At 42.2% G+C, this 20,707-nt stretch overlaps 1 protein-coding gene across 7 annotated transcripts in view; it reads left to right on the forward strand.

The window, feature by feature from the left end:
• SLC1A1 (solute carrier family 1 member 1) overlaps positions 1-20,707 on the forward strand; it is a 97,002-nt gene that overhangs the window by 61,265 nt on the left and 15,030 nt on the right. For all 7 annotated transcript variants that reach the window (XM_011518007.2, XM_017015042.2, NM_004170.6 and 4 more), the window contains 5 exons: positions 9,717-9,809; positions 12,612-12,726; positions 14,315-14,357; positions 15,937-16,035; positions 20,472-20,656. In XM_011518007.2, coding sequence (XP_011516309.1) covers positions 9,717-9,809; positions 12,612-12,726; positions 14,315-14,357; positions 15,937-16,035; positions 20,472-20,656 — 535 coding nt within the window. The remainder of the gene's footprint in view (positions 1-9,716; positions 9,810-12,611; positions 12,727-14,314; positions 14,358-15,936; positions 16,036-20,471; positions 20,657-20,707) is intronic.

Here is a 20,707-nt window from a genome sequence, read left to right on the forward strand (position 1 = left end):
GAGTGAACTTCTTGCCTCATTTGCAACATCTGGAACCAGTGGGCTCTTCATGCACTTTAAGTGCTCCTTTCCCTAAGATTATCAAGAAATTTGTGTTGAGTTAGAATACAGCTGTTGAAGCCAAAGGACTTATTGTATCAATTTGATTTCTGAAATGCCTGGCCTCCAAAGACAAAACGACCACATAGTGTATAAGGAAGAGCTCCCATAATGAACATGCCATTTGCAAGTAATAAAATGAATAGTGGCAAGAGATAAATATGCCCTGCTTTAGTCTTTCCTGAGACAGTGAAGCCCAGAGAATCAACCATGCATGAGCCTTCTTTCTGACTAAACAGGTATTAGACTTGTTCATAGCTCTGTTCAGCTGTAAGATAACCTGATTTGATTACTTAAAAAGGGATTCTAAGGACCTTCTATATATTGGAGGCATGGACCTGGAAGACCATTCGTTCATTTATTTATTTATTCATTCTATCTTTAATGAGCCAGGCTCTGCTAGACACACAAGGTGTAAAATTAAGTCTTATCTCAGCAAGAAAGAGTACATTACAATGCTGTGTGATAAGCACTTTCTGGGAATGAGGTCAGTGCAGGGGACATTGGAAGGAGCCATTTTGAAGGAAGCATAGAAATCAAGTGAAAGGAAGAGGGTGGGTATTCCAGGCAAGAGAAAATAGCATCTTTGTCCTCCCAAAATAGCATCTTGGGAGGACAGTGAGACTTGAAGTGCGATGCTGGAAACGTGGGCAAGAGGAATGGGATGGAAAGGGGGAGCACAAGGGTTTACTGGCCTCGTGTGCCTTGCCAAGGGGACTGGACTTGAGCCTGCAGGCGAGGGAAGCAATTCTAGCAGTGACTCCCACCTGTGCCATTCTCTACAGAGGGACACCTGAATAAGTATCCATCCTAGAGGGGCAAGAGAGTCCAGTGGTTAAGAGTACAGACAGGAGCCACACTGCCTGGGTTTGAATCCTGGTTCTGCCATGGATTAGCTGTGAAACCTTGGATTTTACTTAACTTGTCCTCAGCTTTAAAATATGGATAATAATAATGTTTCATAGAACATCTAGAATGCCATACAATTTTTTTACTTACTCTTTTTTGTCTGAGACCTTCAGAAGTTCCTATAAAGTACCTGAACTGGCAGCAGAATCTACAGGGCCAATATCAGAATTGAGCTACGCAGATATGAACACACTGAATGCATTCATTCTGGAAATGAGAACAATATAAAAAGACTTGCTCTGCCATCAGTTTGTAAAGTTCACCAGCATGTAAGAAGCTTTTGCCTAGAAGTCCGAGATACCAATTTTATGGATAAAGAGAAGCAAAGAGACAGCTCAGTCATATTTAGGTTGTGGCAAAAACCCAGAAAAGTCTCACTGAGCCATTAGCTAGCTGCTGCTGTCAGAGCATTCATATGGACTTTGGAAAAGAACAGTTGAGTTCCTCAGATTCTTTGGGGTATATTTAATGCTTTTACTGGACAATAAGTTCAGGGAGTCAAAAAGTTCATGGAGTCTTCTGAAAAACTGGTCCTAACTACAAATACCACCGTGTTCCATAGTAATGAAAAAAATGTTAAAACAGCTCCTGGACTGCTGAAACCAGGACACAGCCCACCGCTTCTTTTTTTTTTTTTTTTTTTTTGACAGAGTCTCACTGTGTTGCCCAGGCTGGAGTGCAGTGGTGCGATCTCAGCTCACTTGCAACCTCCACCTCCTGGGTTCAAGCGATTCTCCTGCCTCAGCCTCCCAAGTAGCTGGGACTATAGGTGTGTGCCACCACCACCGGCTAATTTTTGTATTTTTAGTAGAGATGAGGTTACACCATGTTGGCCAGGCTGGTCTTGAACTCCTGACCTCAAGTGATCCACTTGCCTCAGCCTCCCAAAGTGCTGGGATTACAGGCATGAACCACTGCACCTGGAGAGCCCACTGCTTCTTGATGCATGTTTTGAACTTCAAATGTGGACCAGCTGACAGAGGCTTCAAGGGGACCTTTAGCTGATTCTGCTCAAGGACCAGTTTATTTTGTTAACATCACCAAATAGCCTAGAGTGGTGATATTACCTATTTTAAGAGAGTTCTTCATGTCTCTAAGAAAAGTAGATGTCATAGGTGATGCATGCACAGAAAGATTTTGCATGCTCCTCTTTGCCTCTTCCTTTCCCTTTGAACATCCAGGGAGTACTAATCAAGGCTGCAGAGATTTCCCTATGCCCTGGATTAACAAAGTAAGATCATATCCTGCCTTGTTTTCTCTGGGGAATAAAAGAAACATTTTGGAATTTAAAAATCATGAACCTGTTTATTTAATCCTCATAGCAGCCCTATGAAGTCATCAAGTAGGTGGGACCTTAACTCCATCTTTAGAGATAAGGAAACAGGAGGTTGAAGACAGATTAAGCCACTTTTTCAAGATCACACAGATCATAAGGGCAGCAGCTGGAACTGGCAAGTTTTGTTCTGGCAACACTCTGCTGCCAAGGGGCCAGAGCCTGGGAGAGGGATCCAGGGCAGTCAGCCATACTTAAATACCTGTTAGTCATTCAATCAGCATGTTTACTGAGCATCTCCTATGTGCTGGGCACTGAGTATACATTCGTGAACAAGCAGATAGCTAGGTCTCCTGCCTTCATGGAGCTTAAAACCTAGCAAGAAAGAGATATAAAATAATGAACCAATGATAAAAATTGTTGAGATATGATATGCACAGGATGCCAAGCAAGGAAATCAGGACACCCTGGTTTAGGGTGGATAATCAGGGAAGGATTCTGAGGAAAGGACTTAAAAGCCAAATGAAGAGTGAGGAAGAGCACTCCAGGCAGAGGGAAGAGCCTGTGCAAAGGCCTTGGGGTGGGAAGGAGCTTGGTCTGTTCCAGAAGAGGCTGGAGGAGGGGATGAGACAGGAAGATGGCACAAAGAGGGGCTGGAGAGGCAGGCAGGTGCCTCCCCTGCAAGGCCTGTTGGCCAAGGTAAGGATTTTTTCTTTTTATCTTCAGTGCCATTGAAGGGTTATCCTGATGTATAAAATCACCTGATTTATGTTTTTAAAGGATCTCTTTAGTGACCGTGTAATGAAGGAATGAATGAGGGAGGGAATGAATGAATCAGTTAATGCTTGTTGAATACCTTCCATCTGCTCAGTGATGCACATCATCTTTATCATTTATTCAGTAATCATGCAGGCTATTTACTAAGAACACACTGTGTTCTGGGCACTGTACTAGGCCTGTTATAGACATTATTTCTAATCCTCACAACAGCTACGCAAGCTGAGGTTGTTCACTTTGTTCCTCACAATTAACCTAAAGGCGATAGAGGCATTTCAGATCCTCCAATTTATAGATGGAGAAGCTGAGTCTGGGAGGAGGCTGGGATTTGAGCCCAGTCTGTCCCACCAAAGCCCATGCCTTCTCTCTGCACAGGTGGCCTCTCTGCCGGTGACAGAGACAGGAGTCATCCACATGGCGAGTTTTAACTCCTATGCAACAATGAGTTTCTTGGATGTGGTGTCCACTTATAATGGCATAACACCACCAAATGTCAGACCTAAAAGAACTTCCAATAAGGGGTTGAATTTTGATACCTTAACAGCAATGTGGAGAGATTGTCACGAAAGCTTTGTTCTCAGTGGGTGGTTGCTTAATCAGAGAGCTCTAGGAGGAGTCTTTTGCCCTCAGATGTTTATTTTTAAAACATGCTATTGTTTAGCCAGGCAACTGCTTCCTTTGGAGTGTTTTTGTAAAAAGTTCAGATGATTACTGCTTTGGCTGGGAGCCAACACCCTTGCTCATCAGAGCCTTCTCCTGAGGTGAAAAAAGCAAATAAATGCCTTTACCTAAAATAAAGAGCTAGCAGGTGCCCCTGACTTCCAAGGACAACCGGGGATTTTATCCCTGTTTCTAGGCCACAGCCGAGCCTCAAAACTGTCCCAGGTTCTAATGGATAACCCTGGGTTCACAGGGAACTGGAATCGTGCTCTTCTTTTTCTGCCCAATTCAGGTGCCACCTGTTCCATCAAGCCTCTCCTGCTCATCTCAATCTGGTGACAGTTCAGGCTCCTCTGAAAGCCCACAGTAACTGGTCTCCGCACCAGGGCTTCACAAAACATCTAGTTTTTAAACTGGATGGAGCAAATCCAGTTGTTAAAATTTCTGATCTGTTACAGATCAATAACCTTCGTAAACTATAGTTAGAGCAAATTACTAGAAAAGTTATATTAAAAATAGACATACAAAATACTAGCCCTATTTTTTTTTTTTTTTGAGATGGAGTTTCACTCCTGTTGCCCAGGCTGAAGTGCAGTGGCATGATATCGGCTCACTGCAACCTCCACCTCCCAGGTTCAAGAGATTCTCCTGCCTCAGCCTCCTGAGTAGCTGGGATTGCAGGTGCACACCATCACACCCAGCAAATTTGTGTGTGTGTGTGGTTTTGTTTTTGTTTTTTTGTTTTTTTAAGTAGAGATGGGGTTTCACCATGTTGGCCAGGCTGGTCTCAAACTCCTGACCTCAGGTGATCCACCTGCCTGGGCCTCCCAAAGTGCTGGGATTACCGGCGTGAGCCACTACGCCCCGCCCCTATCTTTTATTATTACATTCAACAGAAATAAAGTTACTGTCCAATTACTATAAACATTTTAAATACTCACTGTTGATTTCTGTGCAGATGCCATCACACCTGCTTAGTTCATTCTCATTTATCACCCCCTATAGGACAGCTTTCAACTCCCAGGAGAAACGAGTTCTGATAGTGAACTGTAAAGAGAGGGGGTCCTTCAGACCTCGCCAGCCACCAAAGATGGCCTGAGAGCAAGAAACCCGGGGGTCCATTGAGAATAAAAACTCAGAACTAAAGGGCAAATGAGGTTTTACTTGTTTGGGACTAAGTTGGGCCTGATCTTCGACGTCAACGCCAGTTAAGAGTCTAATGCCTGGATTCTCATTCTCACAGTCAACATTCATTGCGCTAGACCACAAGTTCTCACCAAGACAATATCGTCCCCAAGGCAGCAAAAGCTGTTTTTATTTGGTGGTGGTGAGTTGGGGGAGAAAATCTTACTCTTTTTATGTAAAAAAACACATGTATCATTTACTATATAACCAGATATACAGTTTGCGGTTTTAGAATTTCAGAGGGGTGGTGATTAGGAAAACGGCTTTGGGGGGTGGTTTTGCACAACAACAACAACAATAAAACAAGGTTGAAAAAGACTGAGATGTTACATGTGTTCCCCTGTGGAGTCTTTTATGGCTGAAAAGTGTTCTCGTTGGCTGCCCTGGGAACCAAACTAAACCACCATGTATAAGCGGTTTCTAAGGGGACTACCTGCTGAGGTCCAAGTTTCGGACCCAGAAATGGATCTTTGAAATGGGGTCATTTGTAAGCAGACGATTACTTGCAAAAATGCAGCTCTTTCTGTCATGTGGAAAGCTTCAAGTACAAACATTCGTAGAGCACCTTATTTAAGGCACTGGGGGCCCAGTGAAGAATAAGCTTCAGGCCTTACAGCCATATGATCAGTGCAGTGATGGAACTACGTGCCAGGAGATTTGCGCGTAGCATCTTCCTTTCCCCTGCCCATGCTTGCAAGGCAAAGAGCTTTTCCTGAATTTGATAATGGAGTTAAGCTATAGTTTGTTCATTCGACATTGTCGAGCACCCACTAAATGCTAAACACTGGTAGGGTCTAGAGAGATTGGGCTGTCCAATATGATAGCCATTAGCCACGTGTGGCTACTTAAATTGAGATTAATTAAAACTGGCCAGGTGTGGTGGCTCACACCAATAATCCTAGCAATTTGGGAGGCCGAGGTGGGAGGATCGCTGGAGCTCAGGAGTTCAAGACCAGCCTGGGCAACATAGTGAGACCTCATCTCTACAATTAAAAAAAAAAATTAAAATAGATTAATTAAAATGAAAACTCAGTTTGTCAGTCACACTAGCCACTTTCCAAGTGCTTGCTAGCCATATGCACTTTGTGGCTACTGCAGGGGACAGCACAAAAACAGAACGTTTCTATCATCAGGAAGCTCTACTGGGCAGCGCTAGTCTAGAATTTTGTAGCACATGGATAGAGCCAATATGGAATAGTGGTTAAGAATATGGCCTTTGAGGTAAAATGTAGATTGAGATCCCAGCTCTACCACTCACCTTACCAGCTTTATGATCGTATGGTACTTAGCCTTTCTGAGCTATAGTTTTGTCCTCTGTAAAATGGGGGTAATAATGCCCGCCTCCTTGGGTTGTAATGAGAATTAAAGATGATGCATTAACATGCAGTCAATATAGTGTTTATTGTCATCATTATTATTTGTATTATGATTATCATCCTCATCATTATTGACATTACTCGCAGATGGGGTGTTTACAACCATCCAGACAGATATTTTATGGTCATTAAGTTCTGTAATGTTCCTATTTATAGAGGTTTTCAAAGATTAGGCTGTTTCCCTGTATCTGTTCTCTCCCTCTATGGTGGTCACCACCCTTATCCCCAACAATGCATTATAAATCATCCAACAGCCTGGACTTGGGGGCCAGCTCTGCCCCCATGTTGATGACTAGAGAGGTAGAGGGTAACTATAGAGTGGTAACTATACAGAGGTAGAGGTAACTATACAGTGTAGAGAAGTATAATCGTTGATTTGTGTAAATATCTGATATATCCGGGAAATTGGTAGGATGGAGGTGGATTAGAGGAATGGGAAACAAAGACCCGTGCTGAAAGTTACTACAAGATAGTTGCTGTGCTCCAGGACAGAGGGGAAATTGGATGACTACTTGGGGATGTATTTGTTTAAGATATTTTCACCAAGATCTCATTATTATCAAGCCTTTTATTGCCAGCTGAGTCCTGGAGTACAAGCAGAGGCACCAGCCCATGGCCAAATCATTAAGACAAATTAAGACATATTAACATATGCTGGGAACAATTATCCACATAGATTTAATTTGTTTCACTGCTGGAAGAAAATCCTGAGAGAGTACCAAACACATCCCCGAGAACAGCTCTGTAACTACTCTGTGACTCTCACTTGTCAGCACTTCAGGGGCTGGAATCTGCTTAAACTGGACATCTACCAAAGAAGGACGACATATCTGAAAATAGATCCCATATTAGGGCTACAGATGAGTTACTTGGAGTCTGTTAAGGTGGTGATTCTTTTTGTTTCTTTTTAACCTATGCATCTTAGAAATAATTATTACAGTTATCAAAACAATATACCAAGCTCTAAAATGAAACAGGCACATATTTTATAATCATATAATATACTTAGCAAGCTTACATATTTGTATTATGATTTGCTCTTTCTTTAAGAGACCTAAACTAAATATGAGATAGTGAACTTGTTTCTGAATTTTGGCCTTCAATCTCTCTTGACTTTTTTGTTGTTGCTGTTGTCCCTTGCCTAATTGTTATCTTTCATTGTCTTACTGGGAGGAAAAGAAAGACTCTTCAACACAGCAAACTGCATTTTTCTCAAATCGAATAGAATCTATCATCAAGATTATTCTAGAATGTGACTATTGCAGTATGCCCATTATATGGCAATTGCACAATCTTTTCTCAGTGGTTGATGAATGGCGCCTTAACAACATCCTGGGGTAGCTGCTACAGAGGCCAGAGCACCTTCTCTCAAAATATTAACTTCCAAAGGAGCAATCAACAGCCAGAGAAATGGTGTGTTTAGAGTGAGAAATGACTTGTTCTGTCATCATAATGGTGATCACTTCCTTGCAGATTTTCTTCCTGTACATCAAATATGTATGATTATATATGAGAAGCATAAACCCCCAGTCACTTAAAAAAAATGGATAGGCCTTTTAGTGTGGGAAATGAACATAAAAGTTACCTATGCATGCTGATAGCCATACAGGTTTACTGCCTTTCCCTTGGGGTTGCCTTGTGACAACCTCTTCCTTTTTCCTGCTACCCTGTACCTTAGGCTTTGCAAATGGTTATGGGACAACTCATGCGTGTTGAATATGCAAAATCATTTTCTATAATGCTCCTTTGACTCAAAATATGACCCTCATTTTGGAAATCAGGCTTGGTAGTGTCTGAAACCTCCAATGACAGCTTGCCGAAAGATGATTCAGTTGTTTCTCAACTTGGCCCATTCCCCACGTCCAAGTCCAATTGGAGAACGGCTTTTGACTCCGTTTATATGAGCATCTTTGATAGAGAGCAAAGGTTTCTGGCAAGGCGGGATGCCTGCCTTCCACCTCTAATCCAGCTGTCCTTGACACTCCAGACAGCCCTTTCAAATCTGGGCAACACTTAGTCATCTTACTGGTAGCCAAGGACCATTTGAAGTGAGATCTAACAATATGATCGTAAGTCTCTGACATTACCTGTGCCCTGGGAAATTATTTATTAATATCTTTCCTTTTTCAAATAGAAATTTTAAGATGTCTCACAATAAAAGCTATACACAATAAGGTTGTTTACACAGAAGCAATTTGAAAATCATGAAAAGAGGAAGGAAACACACTAACCAGAATGGATAATGACATTACTGTGAATGTGGCCCCGGGACCATTTAAAGATCCAGCAATAAGTGGATCATTAAATACATTCTGGTACAGCCACATGACAGATTACTGAGCCATTAAAATTATCCTCAGGGTGAGTTTGTAACAATGTGGGAAAATGCTTACAACTATAATATTAAGAAGAAGAGAGAGGGTTAGAAACTATAAAATTCTCCCAGCTGTTTACAAAAAATTGAGAAAAATATTAGAAGAAAATCACCAGAATATTAACTTGGTTGATGAGATGATGTGATTTTTGTTGTCATCTTTACCTTTTCTCCTTTTTCAGATAGTTGTAATGAATATATATTACTTTTATAATTGTATATAAACATTATTTTTTCCAGTTAAGCCTAAGCTTCCTGACAGAAAAGGCAGAAAGGAAAACTATCATGAGTTACATGATTCTCAAGTGTTAAAAAAAAAAAAAATCTCAGGCAGGACATGATGACTCACACCTGTAATCCCAGCACTTTGGGAGGCCAAGGTTGTGGATCACCTGAGGTCAGGAGTTCGAGACAAGCCTGGCCAACATGGTGGAACCTCATCTCTACTAACAATACAAAAATTAGCTGGGTGTGGTGGTGTGCACCTGTAATCCCAGCTACTCGGGAAGCTGAGGAAGGAGAATCGCTTGAACCCAGGAGATGGAGGTTGTAATGAGCCGAGATCACACCATTGCACTCCAGCCTGGGTGACAGAGTAAGACTCTGTCTCAAAACAAACAAACAAACAAACAACAACAACAACAAACGATCTCAGTTCTTTGAGATAAATTTTTCCTAGATAACTGAATTCCAAAGGAGGTTTATCACAAGGGATGTTGAATGATATAATACAAATCTTGGTAAAGTTCTTAGTGCAAATGTGGGACAGGGACTCCTTATGATTATTTCCTGACCAACTCCAGGAAGATCTGAAGGCAGGACACTCCTGGAGGTGAAGGCTGTGGGAAGCTGCCTGCAGGGGAACTTGCACCTGACTGGGCTTCCCTCTCTTAAATCTGTTTGGAATTTTGAAGTGTTGCTTTTGCCCATTGCATGTTATTGCCCATTGTCTGTAGATGAGAACGCCTCTCAGCTCTTTATTTCACAACCTGAGGATTAAATCGCGGGTCCTGGAAACCTGTCTTTTAAAATTAATGTAATTTGATTTCTGTCTCCCCTTCAGGTGTTGCTGCACTGGATTCCAACGTATCCGGAAAAATTGGTCTGCGCGCTGTCGTGTATTATTTCTGTACCACTCTCATTGCTGTTATTCTAGGTAATACTTATTTCTGAATCCTTACTACTTTATGTAATGGTGATTTTTTCATTCGAAAAGTAGTTGGTGGCCAGATGCGGTGGCTCAGGCCTGTAATCTCAGAAATCTGGGAGGCTGATGTGGGCAGATCCCTTGAGGTCAGGGGTTTGAGACCAGCCTGGCCAACATGAAAACCCGTTTCTACCAAAAATACAAAAATATTAGCCGGGTATGGTAACATGCGCCTGTAGTCCCAGCTACTTGGGAGGCTGAGGCAGGAGAATCACTTGAACCTGGCAGACAGACTTCAAAGGAAAAACTTTATGGTACTTTGACAATACTACTTTCTGATTTTAAAAAATTGTATGTTAAGAAAAGCTCAACTACTTTTTAAAATATGTATTTTTTTAATTAAAAAGAGACGTGGGGAGTCTTCTATGTTGCCCAGGCTGGTCTTGAACTCTTGGGCTCAAGGGATCTGCCTGCCTCAGCCTCCCAAAGTGCTGGAATTACCGGCATGAGCCACTGTGCCTGGCCCTAACTACTTTTTTTTTTTTTTTTTTTTTTCAAGAGGGAGTCTCACTCTTGTCACCCAGGCTAGAGTGCAGTGGCATGATCTCGGCTCACTGCAACCTCTGCCTCCTGGGTTCAAATGATTCTCCTGCCTCAGCCTCCCGAGTAGCTGGGATTACAGGTGCACACCACCATGCCCAGCTAATTTTTGTATTTTTTAAATAGAGACAGGGTTTCACCATGTTGGCCAGGCTGGTCTTGAACTCCTGACCTCAGGTGATCTACCTGCCTTGGCCTCCCAAAGTGCTGGGATTACAGGTGTGAGCCACCATGCCCAGCCACTTACATAATTCTTAAAGTGGATGATTGGTCTATAATAGTGGAGTTGAGTATAATTATAAAATATTTCCAGAAATATAGCATTTTAGTGCATTTCACGTAGTAACAAGAGCTAACAGCTAATAGATCCTTGTTAAGGATAAATCCCACTTGTAAGAGGGAGAAAATTCTAATAAGGGAGGAGCTGCTCTTATACCCTTAGCATAGTTTTTTGAAGAATGCTTGGTCTTTGTAACCCTGAGTGACATTTTAAGAAGAATGCCCAATTCCCACCTATGAGTGAGAATATGTGGTGTTTGGTTTTTTGTTCTTGCAATAGTTTACTGAGAATGATGATTTCCAATTTCAACCATGTCCCTACAAAGGACATGAACTCATCATTTTTATGGCTGCATAGTATTCCATGGTGTATATGTGCCACATTTTCTTAATCCAGTCTATCATTGTTGGACATTTGGGTTGGTTCCAAGTCTTTGCTATTGTGAATAATGCCGCAATAAACATACGTGTGCATGTGTCTTTATAGCAGCATGATTTATAGTCCTTTAGATCACATGGACACAGGAAGGGGAACATCACACTCTGGGGACTGTTGTGGGGTGGGGGGAGGGGAGAGGGATAGCATTGGGAGATATACCTAATGCTAGATGATGAGTTAGTGGGTGCAGCGCACCAGCATGGCACATGTATACATATGTAACTAACCTGCACAATGTGCACATATACCCTAAAACTTAAAGTATAATAATAAAAGAAAAAAAAAGAGAGAGAGAGAAAAAAAAAAAAGAAGAATGCCCAGAGGGGGAAGACAGAAGGAGCATATACTCAGATGTGGCAGCAGCTCGGCCCTTGTAGCCCTGCTTCAATGAGCTGATAAGAAGGGGTGGGATGTGGTGAGGCTTTAGTGGTATTAGGCCAAGGGACCCAGGAGGGCTTGAACTGTACCATAAAACAAAACCACATCATCTCATGAGTTTCCTGAGGAAGACAGACACAGAGAAAAAATAGCAATGAGAATCAAGATACTGCTCTCTTATTAGCTGGAGGCGTATAGCCCTTCTACAACCCTGAGAGAGGAAAAGAGTGGGCCATGCCCAGTCATGGCCCCTTATTGCCCAGGAGTTCCTCCCATTAGCAAAATGGACCCATTCAGCATCCCAGAGCCCTACCCCCTGGATTACCATTGCCTCTTCTTGAGGGAGGAGCAATAAAGAGCATGAGGACCTTTTTCTTCTTCACTTCCCTCCAGTCAAACACCCTCCAATGTCTTGGTCTCTTCTACAGCCTCCCATCTTGGCTTGGATACTCAAGTGACAGGAACCCATTACTTCCCAAGGCCACAATGATGCTGTCAGATGCTCTGCCATGTAGACAGTTCTTCCTTACAGAGAGATGAACCTTCTCTCCCTATAAATCCCATCTATTTGTCCTCATTCCACCCCCGGAACAGCATTTTCCTACATGACTGCTTTCTAGATACTTGAAGACCTACGGTATGGAAGGAAGGCAAGGCTTGTTTTGTATGATCCTCAGGAGAATAACCAGCATCTGGGTAAAAGTTGCAGAAAGACATCAGATGCATTCTCTGGGCTAGAAAATGGATCATCCTTACCCTAACACCTTCCTAGGCTGGTCTCATAAGTTCAAGAAAAAGAATATTCTCATCAGCAGGTGTTTCCAGAAGCAATTCTGGGATGCAGCCCCTTCATTTAAAACACACATACACACACACACAGACGCACACGCACGCACGCAAGCACATGGAGTTCTTTCTGCTTACTCATTTAAATGGAAGAGTAATTAAGGTGGCTGCTGAGGTTCCAGAGGAGGCTCAGCATTTTGGCTGGACCTCAGGGTCCTCCCCATCACACTATTGCCTGGTACAACCATGCCCATTGTTCTAAAGGTGCCAGCTGTGCCAGGTGCCCTGGAAGGTTCCTAATGCTCTGTGGACGCTGTTCTTGGCCACAGGTATTGTGCTGGTGGTGAGCATCAAGCCTGGTGTCACCCAGAAAGTGGGTGAAATTGCGAGGACAGGCAGCACCCCTGAAGTCAGTACGGTGGATGCCATGTTAGATCTCATCAGGTGAGTGTTTTGCCACAAGGTGGCTTCAAGGGCATGCGGATAGCAGCACAAGGCCTTGTATGTGGTTTAATATTCTGCTGTTACTGTATTGAAATTTTTAATAACTTTTGAATTATTGTGCACTTTCATTTTGCCCAGGAACCCACAAATTACATAGCCAGTACTGTTTGCCAAGTCTTGGTTCCAAGAGGGAAGGGAAGAAACAGGCTTCCGCATCAGGATTTAGGATGAACAGAGATGCAGCTACATGTTCCAGAGAGATGCTGGGATGGATTGGTAGTCAGTTCTGAAGCGCACTTAGAAAAATACATCTTTTAATTGTACAGGAGAAACTCTCTTATCTAAAGCAACCAGAGGGGTAAATAGGTCAGTCAATAAAAAATACCAGTTAAAGCAGAGACTCATAAAAAAAGACATAAGATACACATTACAATTTTGTTTTCACTTAAAACTTAGTGCATTTATTCACCAATTGTTTGACATAAAGCTAAGGTCTTTTCTTCAAGTTTGTTAGCTCATGGTAATTTCTTACGGGTTCTGTTGCATATACAGCCCTTATAAATATATCATCTGCAATTTCCAGGTAAAGTTTCTATAGAACAGAGCACCAAAACTTTTAGACATTGCAAAGAAAGCTAAGTGCAAATCTTTCCAGTTTTTCTTTTTAATTTCAATAATCTTCCCATACCTAATCTAACCATAAAAATTTTAGTCACTGGCCTTTATTGAGTTTCCAGGTATGTGGCTTAGATTTTATAGAAACCATACCTTCTTTTTATGCTCATATTTCACTGGTTTACATAATATGAAATGCAGTAATTATGATGATATTTGCAACTGGTATAAAGAATTTGGGAACAAATAAAATGAACCCTTGGTAAGTGTATTAGTCCATTTTCACACTGCTATAAAGAACTACCTGGGACTGGGTAATTTATAACGGGAAGAGGCTTAATTAAGTCACAGTTCCTCACGGCTGGGGAGGCCTCAAGAAACTTACAATCATGGCAGAAGGCAAAGGGGAAGCAAGGCACATCTTACATGGCTGCAGGAGAGAGAGCAAGGGCGAAGGGAGAAGTGCCACACACTTTCTAACAACCAGATCTTGTGAGAACTCACTCATGATCATGAGAATAGCATGGGAGAAACCACCCCCCATGATCCAATCACCTCCCACAAGGCCCCTCCCCTGACATGTGGGGATTACAATTTGACATGAGATTTGGGTGGGGACACAGAGCCAAACCATATCAGTAAGCATACAACCTCATTGATGAAAACAGAAGTGTTCAGAATATTAAAGAATAAATAGTCTCTTGACTGTGAGTGTCCATTTCACCAAGGAGCGTAAGCATGTCAGTTACTCAGTGAATCAATTAAGTGATGGTTGATTACAGAGCTTTCTATACTTGGGTGAAGCTCAGCAGGAAAAAAGAAATCTCAATACAAGGAAGTATTACGCAAAGCAGGGGCCAGAAGAGAAACCAGAGTACTAGTTTTATGTTATACTAATTTCTACCAATATATTAGGTATGACAAAACAATACTTTTTGCCCTAACATAATACTGCCTTTTATGTCTCCAACAGGAATATGTTCCCTGAGAATCTTGTCCAGGCCTGTTTTCAGCAGGTAATATTAATTACTTGTGCCCTTAACTTGCTACCCTCTTCCCATTATCAATTAAAAATGTTTTTTTCTGCTGTGACTCAAGAAATGGAATTAGCCCCGTGAAAATGGCAGCAGGAAGTAAACCTGTGACTGGCCAAGTTTAAGGTGATGTCTCTGTTTTGTATGCAGCCTTTCTGGCTCACAGTAAGGTGCATGTCACAATTTACACTGCTTCCTTTTCCTTTATGCTTTTTCCCCCAAAAAGGCTCAAATGGTACAAATCAGAAATCTGTCAAATAATGAGTATTTTAAAATGTGGCCTCCAGTACCTATTTTTGGAGAACCATAGTATATTTGTACTGAAGTTTAAACTTTCTGCAGAAAAAAGGTAGCTCTCTATCTCCTCTTTGCTTTTCCTCTGGTATTAGAACCCAGGATCTAACCCTCATGGTGTGGTCCACATCTGGGTTCAGTCTTCTCCTTAATCATTGTGTCCCAGAGAGGCGTGGAAGCTCACACCTGTAATCCCAGCACTTTGGGAGGCCAAGGTGGGCAGATCCCTTGAGCTCAGGAGTTCCAGACTAGCCTGGGCAACATGGCAAGACCATGTCTCTAAAAAGAAATAATTTAAAAAAAAATATAAAAAATCGTTGTATCCCCATTGCTGGAGCTCTACAATGCAGTGTAACAAAGCCATGATTTTTTTTTCTGTAGGAAAATTGAACAATCTCTTCACTCCATTTACTTCAAGCCTTTCCCTCCTATTTATCTATGTGCTTTAAGACAGCTGAGTCCATCACAAACTGCTGTATTCATTCACATAAGTTACATGAACACAGACTTCTGTGTATACCAACAAAAATGGCAACTCTGTTGCTCTCTGCCGGCCTCCACGAGGGACAGAACCTCCTCTATTACAGGGGGCCTTTGCAGATCAGTCACAGTGGTTGTTTGTAAGGTTCTCAGTGTTGGCAGAGCCTGGTAGTGGGGGACATTTATGCCTGGTGTAATAATATACTCACTCTTTCTTAAATCCCCATGTGGAAGCTCCACAGAACCAAACAGGGCTGAAAGAAGAGAATTCAACTGCAGTCTCACTCACTGAATAGCCCCAAGGGGACTGTTGATTTTGGAACAACCATATCGTTAAACCTTTCTTGATGCTTATTAAAGTTGTAGTGATGTTATCAAAGTAATGAAGTGTGTTTGCTCAGATTAAAAATCATTTATTAATTAATAAAAACAAAAATGATTGACAGGAATCCTTACAGAGTCTGTCTCTGACAGCACCTGCAGATCAAGCCTGTACTTTCTTTTGTATTATTCTTCTATCAACTTGTCGTTTATTGTGAAAGTGAAGGAACATTTTGACATAATTGAATGGTGATCGTGGGAGTCAGGGGTTTAAATTTCTGCCTCGCTTTTAGTTCCAAAACCTGATGGGAGGTACCGTTGACAACTGGAGCCAACAGAGGCATTGGATGTAGATCCCTTCAGTGGCACTGTTTGGCCAAAATAACATGTTCCTGTGATTTAGTCTCAAAAGCTTAAAAAAAATTCTTTTTTTGTTTGCTTGTCCTTGATTTTCTCCAACATGCAGTACAAAACTAAGCGTGAAGAAGTGAAGCCTCCCAGCGATCCAGAGATGAACATGACAGAAGAGTCCTTCACAGCTGTCATGACAACTGCAATTTCCAAGGTACCATTCTTATTTCCTGTTCCTCTTCCCCAGGAGACAGGCACTGAGTCATGACTGAGCAGGAAATACAATCAATCCTCGTCATTCACAGAATCGCATTTGCAAATTCACCTACTTGCTAAAATTTATGTGTGACCCCAAAATCCATACTTAAGGGGCTTTCATGGTCATCATCTCGCACACAAAGAGCGGCAAAATATTTGAGTCACCCGACAGGCACGTTCCCAGCTAAGGTGAAAAAGGCTGTGCTCTGCTTTCTTGCTTTGATTCTCATGCTGGAAACAAGTGTCCCTTTTGCAGTGTGTTTAGTGTCATATTTTTTGCATTTTTGTGATTTTTCTTGCTGATTTCGCTGTTTGAAATGGACCAAGGTGGGGTTCAGTGACTCATGTCTGTAATCCCAGCATGCTGGGATGCCGAGGCGGGAGGATCGCTTGAGCCCAGGAGTTCCAGACCAGTCTGCGCAACATAGTGACACCTCACCTCTACAAAAAATGAAAAATAGCCGGGTGTGATGGTGCACACCTATTGTCCCAGCTACTCGGGAGGCTGAAGTGGGAGGATTGCTTGTTCCAGGGAATTCAAGGCTGCAGTGAGCCATGATTGAATCATTGCACTTCAGCCTGGGTAGCAGACTGAGACCCTGTCTCAAAAAAAAAAAAAAAGGACCAGGCTGGGCATGGTGGCTCACACTTGTAATCTCAGTACTTTGGGAGGCCAAGACAGGTGGATCGCTTGAAACCAGGAGTTTGAGACCGGCCTGGGAAATATAGTGAGACCCCATATGCACAAAACATTTTAATATTACCCAGGTGTGGTGGCACATGCCTGTAGTCCCAGATACTTGAGAGGCTGAGGCAGGAGGATCGTTTGAGCTATGATTGCACCACTGCACTCAGCCTGGGTGACAGAGCAAGACTCTTGTTTCAAAAAAAAAAAAAAAAACATACACACAAAAAAGCATCATATTGAAGTGGTCTCCAGTGTTCCTAAGCACAAGAAGACTGTGATGTGCCTTAGGGAGAAAATTTGTGCTTTAGATAAGCTTCATTCAGGCATGAGTTATAGTGCTGTTGGCTGTGAGGTCAGTATTAATAAATTAACAATCTATATGAAACAAGGTGTCTTTAAAAGAAACACATACAACAATGTTATATATTGATTGTTTGCTGAAAAGGATGTGTCCAAGGTTCCCAGAAACTTAACCCTGTATTTCCCCCAGGAGCAACGGTTCAGTATTTGCTAATTCAGTGTTCATGAGCACTTTATAGAACATAACTACCAGGAATAGAGAGAGTCGACCACAAAGAGCAAAAAAAGAGCCCTGTTGCCTCTACCTCTCTGGGTCTGCTTACAGTAGAGCTGGCCATCTCTAGAAACTGCTATAGATTTGTCAGGTACATAAGCATGCAATGCAGGCCCACAATTCCTAGTCTGAATCTCTCTGCCCAGATGTAATTCAGAGTTCAGAGTTTCTCAGACTTTAGAAAGGCCATGTGGTGTATATACTGCATATTATGCAACCTTTATAAGTGGGATGGGCAACAACATGCCAGAATCAACCACATCAATGTTTTTATAACAAACTCATAAATATTCTGCCAAGGAGAGAAATGGACCCTTAGTAGCCAGTAGCCTCATCTCAGTTTAGGATGGGATTTGCTGCCAAAAGAGTTTGCTATAAACTTATCAATAAAATCAACATGCTTTGAGAGCTTTTGGGATTTCAGAATTGGAGATCAGAATGTGTGGGCCTGCATTGGTACCTCTGTAAGCCTGTAGCAGATTTCTCCCGAATGTTCTCTCAACTTCACACAGGAAGGAATGATTTAAGGAGAAAAGGAGTGTTCATTAGACTTAAGAATTCAAATTAAATAAACCACCGTTGGCTCCCTGCTTCCTACTGCAGAAAGCCTTAACTCCTCTGGCTGAGTTCAGAGGCCCTGCATGACCTGGCTTCTCTCTAGTTTTCACAGCTTACTTCCAGTGGGCACCTCTCTTCTTTCCAGATTCACCTCCTCCATCACTCCTTATTCCTGCCTTTTGATGTTGTTCCACAAATACTTTCTGAGCACCCTCTATACCCCAGGCCCTGCTGGGCATTGGGATTATAATGGTGAAAAGACAGATGCCAGGCCTCTGTCCTCACACAAAGAATGATGAGTATTATAATCAGGAAGAATGGGATGTTTGGGAGGCATTCAGCAAGGGATGTTAAATTAGTCTGGAGGCCATAATGAATGAGCAAGAATTATTCAAGCAGGGTGCAAAGGCCCAGTGCATGATCGTTTTTGCCTTTGCTTGCCATCTTTCTGAAACATGCTTTTTCTCCTGGCTGCTGATTCCTCAGCCCTAGCTTTCCCTAACCTTGAAACCCACATTCATGTCCCACTCTTCATATGACGCTTGTATCTCATAGTTTGGGCGCACAATTAATTACATACCTTCCTGCTATTATTGGCTCATGCTTCTCACAGTCAGTCTTGTCTCTCCAGCTGAATCTTAAGACCTTATGCTATAGCCAGTGCAGTAATACTCTAGCTTTTCCCTAAATATATGTTTGATCATAAGTAAGAAATGACTGGTAGCCCAGTGGGTCCTCAACATAATTTTTTTTTTTTTGAGATGGAGTCTGACTCTATCGCCCAGGCTGGAGTGCAGTGGCGTGACCTTGGCTCACTGCAGCCTCCGCCTCCTGGGTTCAAGCAATTTTCTGCCTCAGCCTCCCAAGCAGCTGGGATTACAGGCACGTGCCACAATGCCTGGCTAATTTTTGTATTTTTAGTAGAGACGGGGTTTCACCATGTTGGCCAGGCTGGTCTTGAACTCCTAACATCAGGTGATCCACCTGCCTCAGCCTCCCAAAATGCTGGGATTACAGGTGTGAGCCACCGCACCCAGCTAACATAATTCTTTATAAACATAGTTGGCACCACTCAGTTATCTCTCTGTAAATCTCAGGCTATTTTTACCCAGGATAAAGTGAAGAAATTAAGCCAGGCATGGTGGCATGCCCCCGTAGACCCAGCTACTTGGGAGGCTGAGGTGAGAGGATCACTTGAGCCCTCCTTTGAGGAGTTTGAGGCTGCAGTGAGCTATGATCATGCCACTGCACCCCAGCCTGGACAACATGAGACCCTGTCTGTTTAAAAAAAAAAAAAAGGTAAAAACATGATTCACAGTAGTAGGTATTTGGCTAATTTTTATATGTCTAAAATCCTACCAATGATAGACTGGATAAAGAAAATGTGTACATATATACCATGGAATGCTATGCTGCCATTTAAAAAGAACAAGATCATGTCCTTTGTAAGGGACACGGATGGAGCTAGAGGCCATTATCCTTAGCCAACTAACACAGGAACAGAAAACCAAATACTGCCTGTTCTTTCTTATAAGTGGGAGCTAAATGATGAGAACACATGGACACATAGAGGGGAACAACACACACTGGGGCCTATCAGAGGGTAGAGGGTGGGAGGAGGGAGAGGATCAGGAAAAATAATTAATGGATACTAGGCTTAATACCTGGGTGATAAAATAATCTATACAACAAACCCCATGACACCCTGTACATCCTGCACCACATGTACCCCTGAATGTAAAAGTTTTTTTAAAAAAATCCTGGCTGGGCACAGTGGCTCACACCTGTAATCCCAGCACTTTGAGAGGCTGAGGTGGGCGGATCACCTGAGGTCAGGAGTTCGAGACCACCCTGGCCAACACGGCGAAACCCTGTCTCTACTAAAAATACAAAAAATTAATTGGGTGTGGGGGCGGATGCCTGTAATCCCAGCTACTAGGGAGGCTGAGGCAGGAGAATTGCTTGAACCCGGGAGGTGGAGGTTGCAGTGAACTGAGATACCACCACTGCACTCCAGCCTGGGTAACAGAGCGAGACTCCATCTCAGAAAAAATAAATAAATAAATAAATAAATAATCCTATTGGTCATCCAAGACCGCAGGCATAAAGAGTGTTACTGTGCTTCATTATCAGGGTAAAACAGAAGGTAAAATGTCCTAAAAGTGTTCACACTGGTAAGTATTCTGTACTTCCTGCATTATTAATTCCTGTGTTTTTTTAAGCAGACTCCAAATGTAGCTAGCAGTTAAAATGACCCTGAAAAGTGCCTTCAATCTAAAATTCATAATAAAAATATAAACCATTCCAGAATAAGAAATCTTTATAAGAAATATTCAAATATGGACTTGTTGAAAGAAGAGAAAGCATTTTAACTTCGGGGAGCAAGGGTAAAGTTTGTTACATGCATAGGTGTTTTTATTATTGTTTTTATATTTTCTATAGTTTTGTTGACTCTGCCTGGGAGATCACCAGTTTATTATGTTTGGTCATTGTATCTTCTCATTTCTGGACCTGTGCTTTCTAACAAGATTATAATCGTGCATCAATATGTTTTCTTGGTTTTGATCCACAGAACAAAACAAAGGAATACAAAATTGTTGGCATGTATTCAGATGGCATAAACGTCCTGGGCTTGATTGTCTTTTGCCTTGTCTTTGGACTTGTCATTGGAAAAATGGGAGAAAAGGGACAAATTCTGGTGGATTTCTTCAATGCTTTGAGTGATGCAACCATGAAAATCGTTCAGATCATCATGTGGTGAGCAGACACTGTTTAATGTCATTTTGCTTCCCCTGACAATTCTGTCTC

The sequence above is a fragment of the Homo sapiens genome, chromosome 9 (genome assembly GCF_000001405.40).
Source record: "Homo sapiens chromosome 9, GRCh38.p14 Primary Assembly".
Classification (NCBI taxonomy): Eukaryota; Metazoa; Chordata; class Mammalia; order Primates; family Hominidae; genus Homo; species Homo sapiens.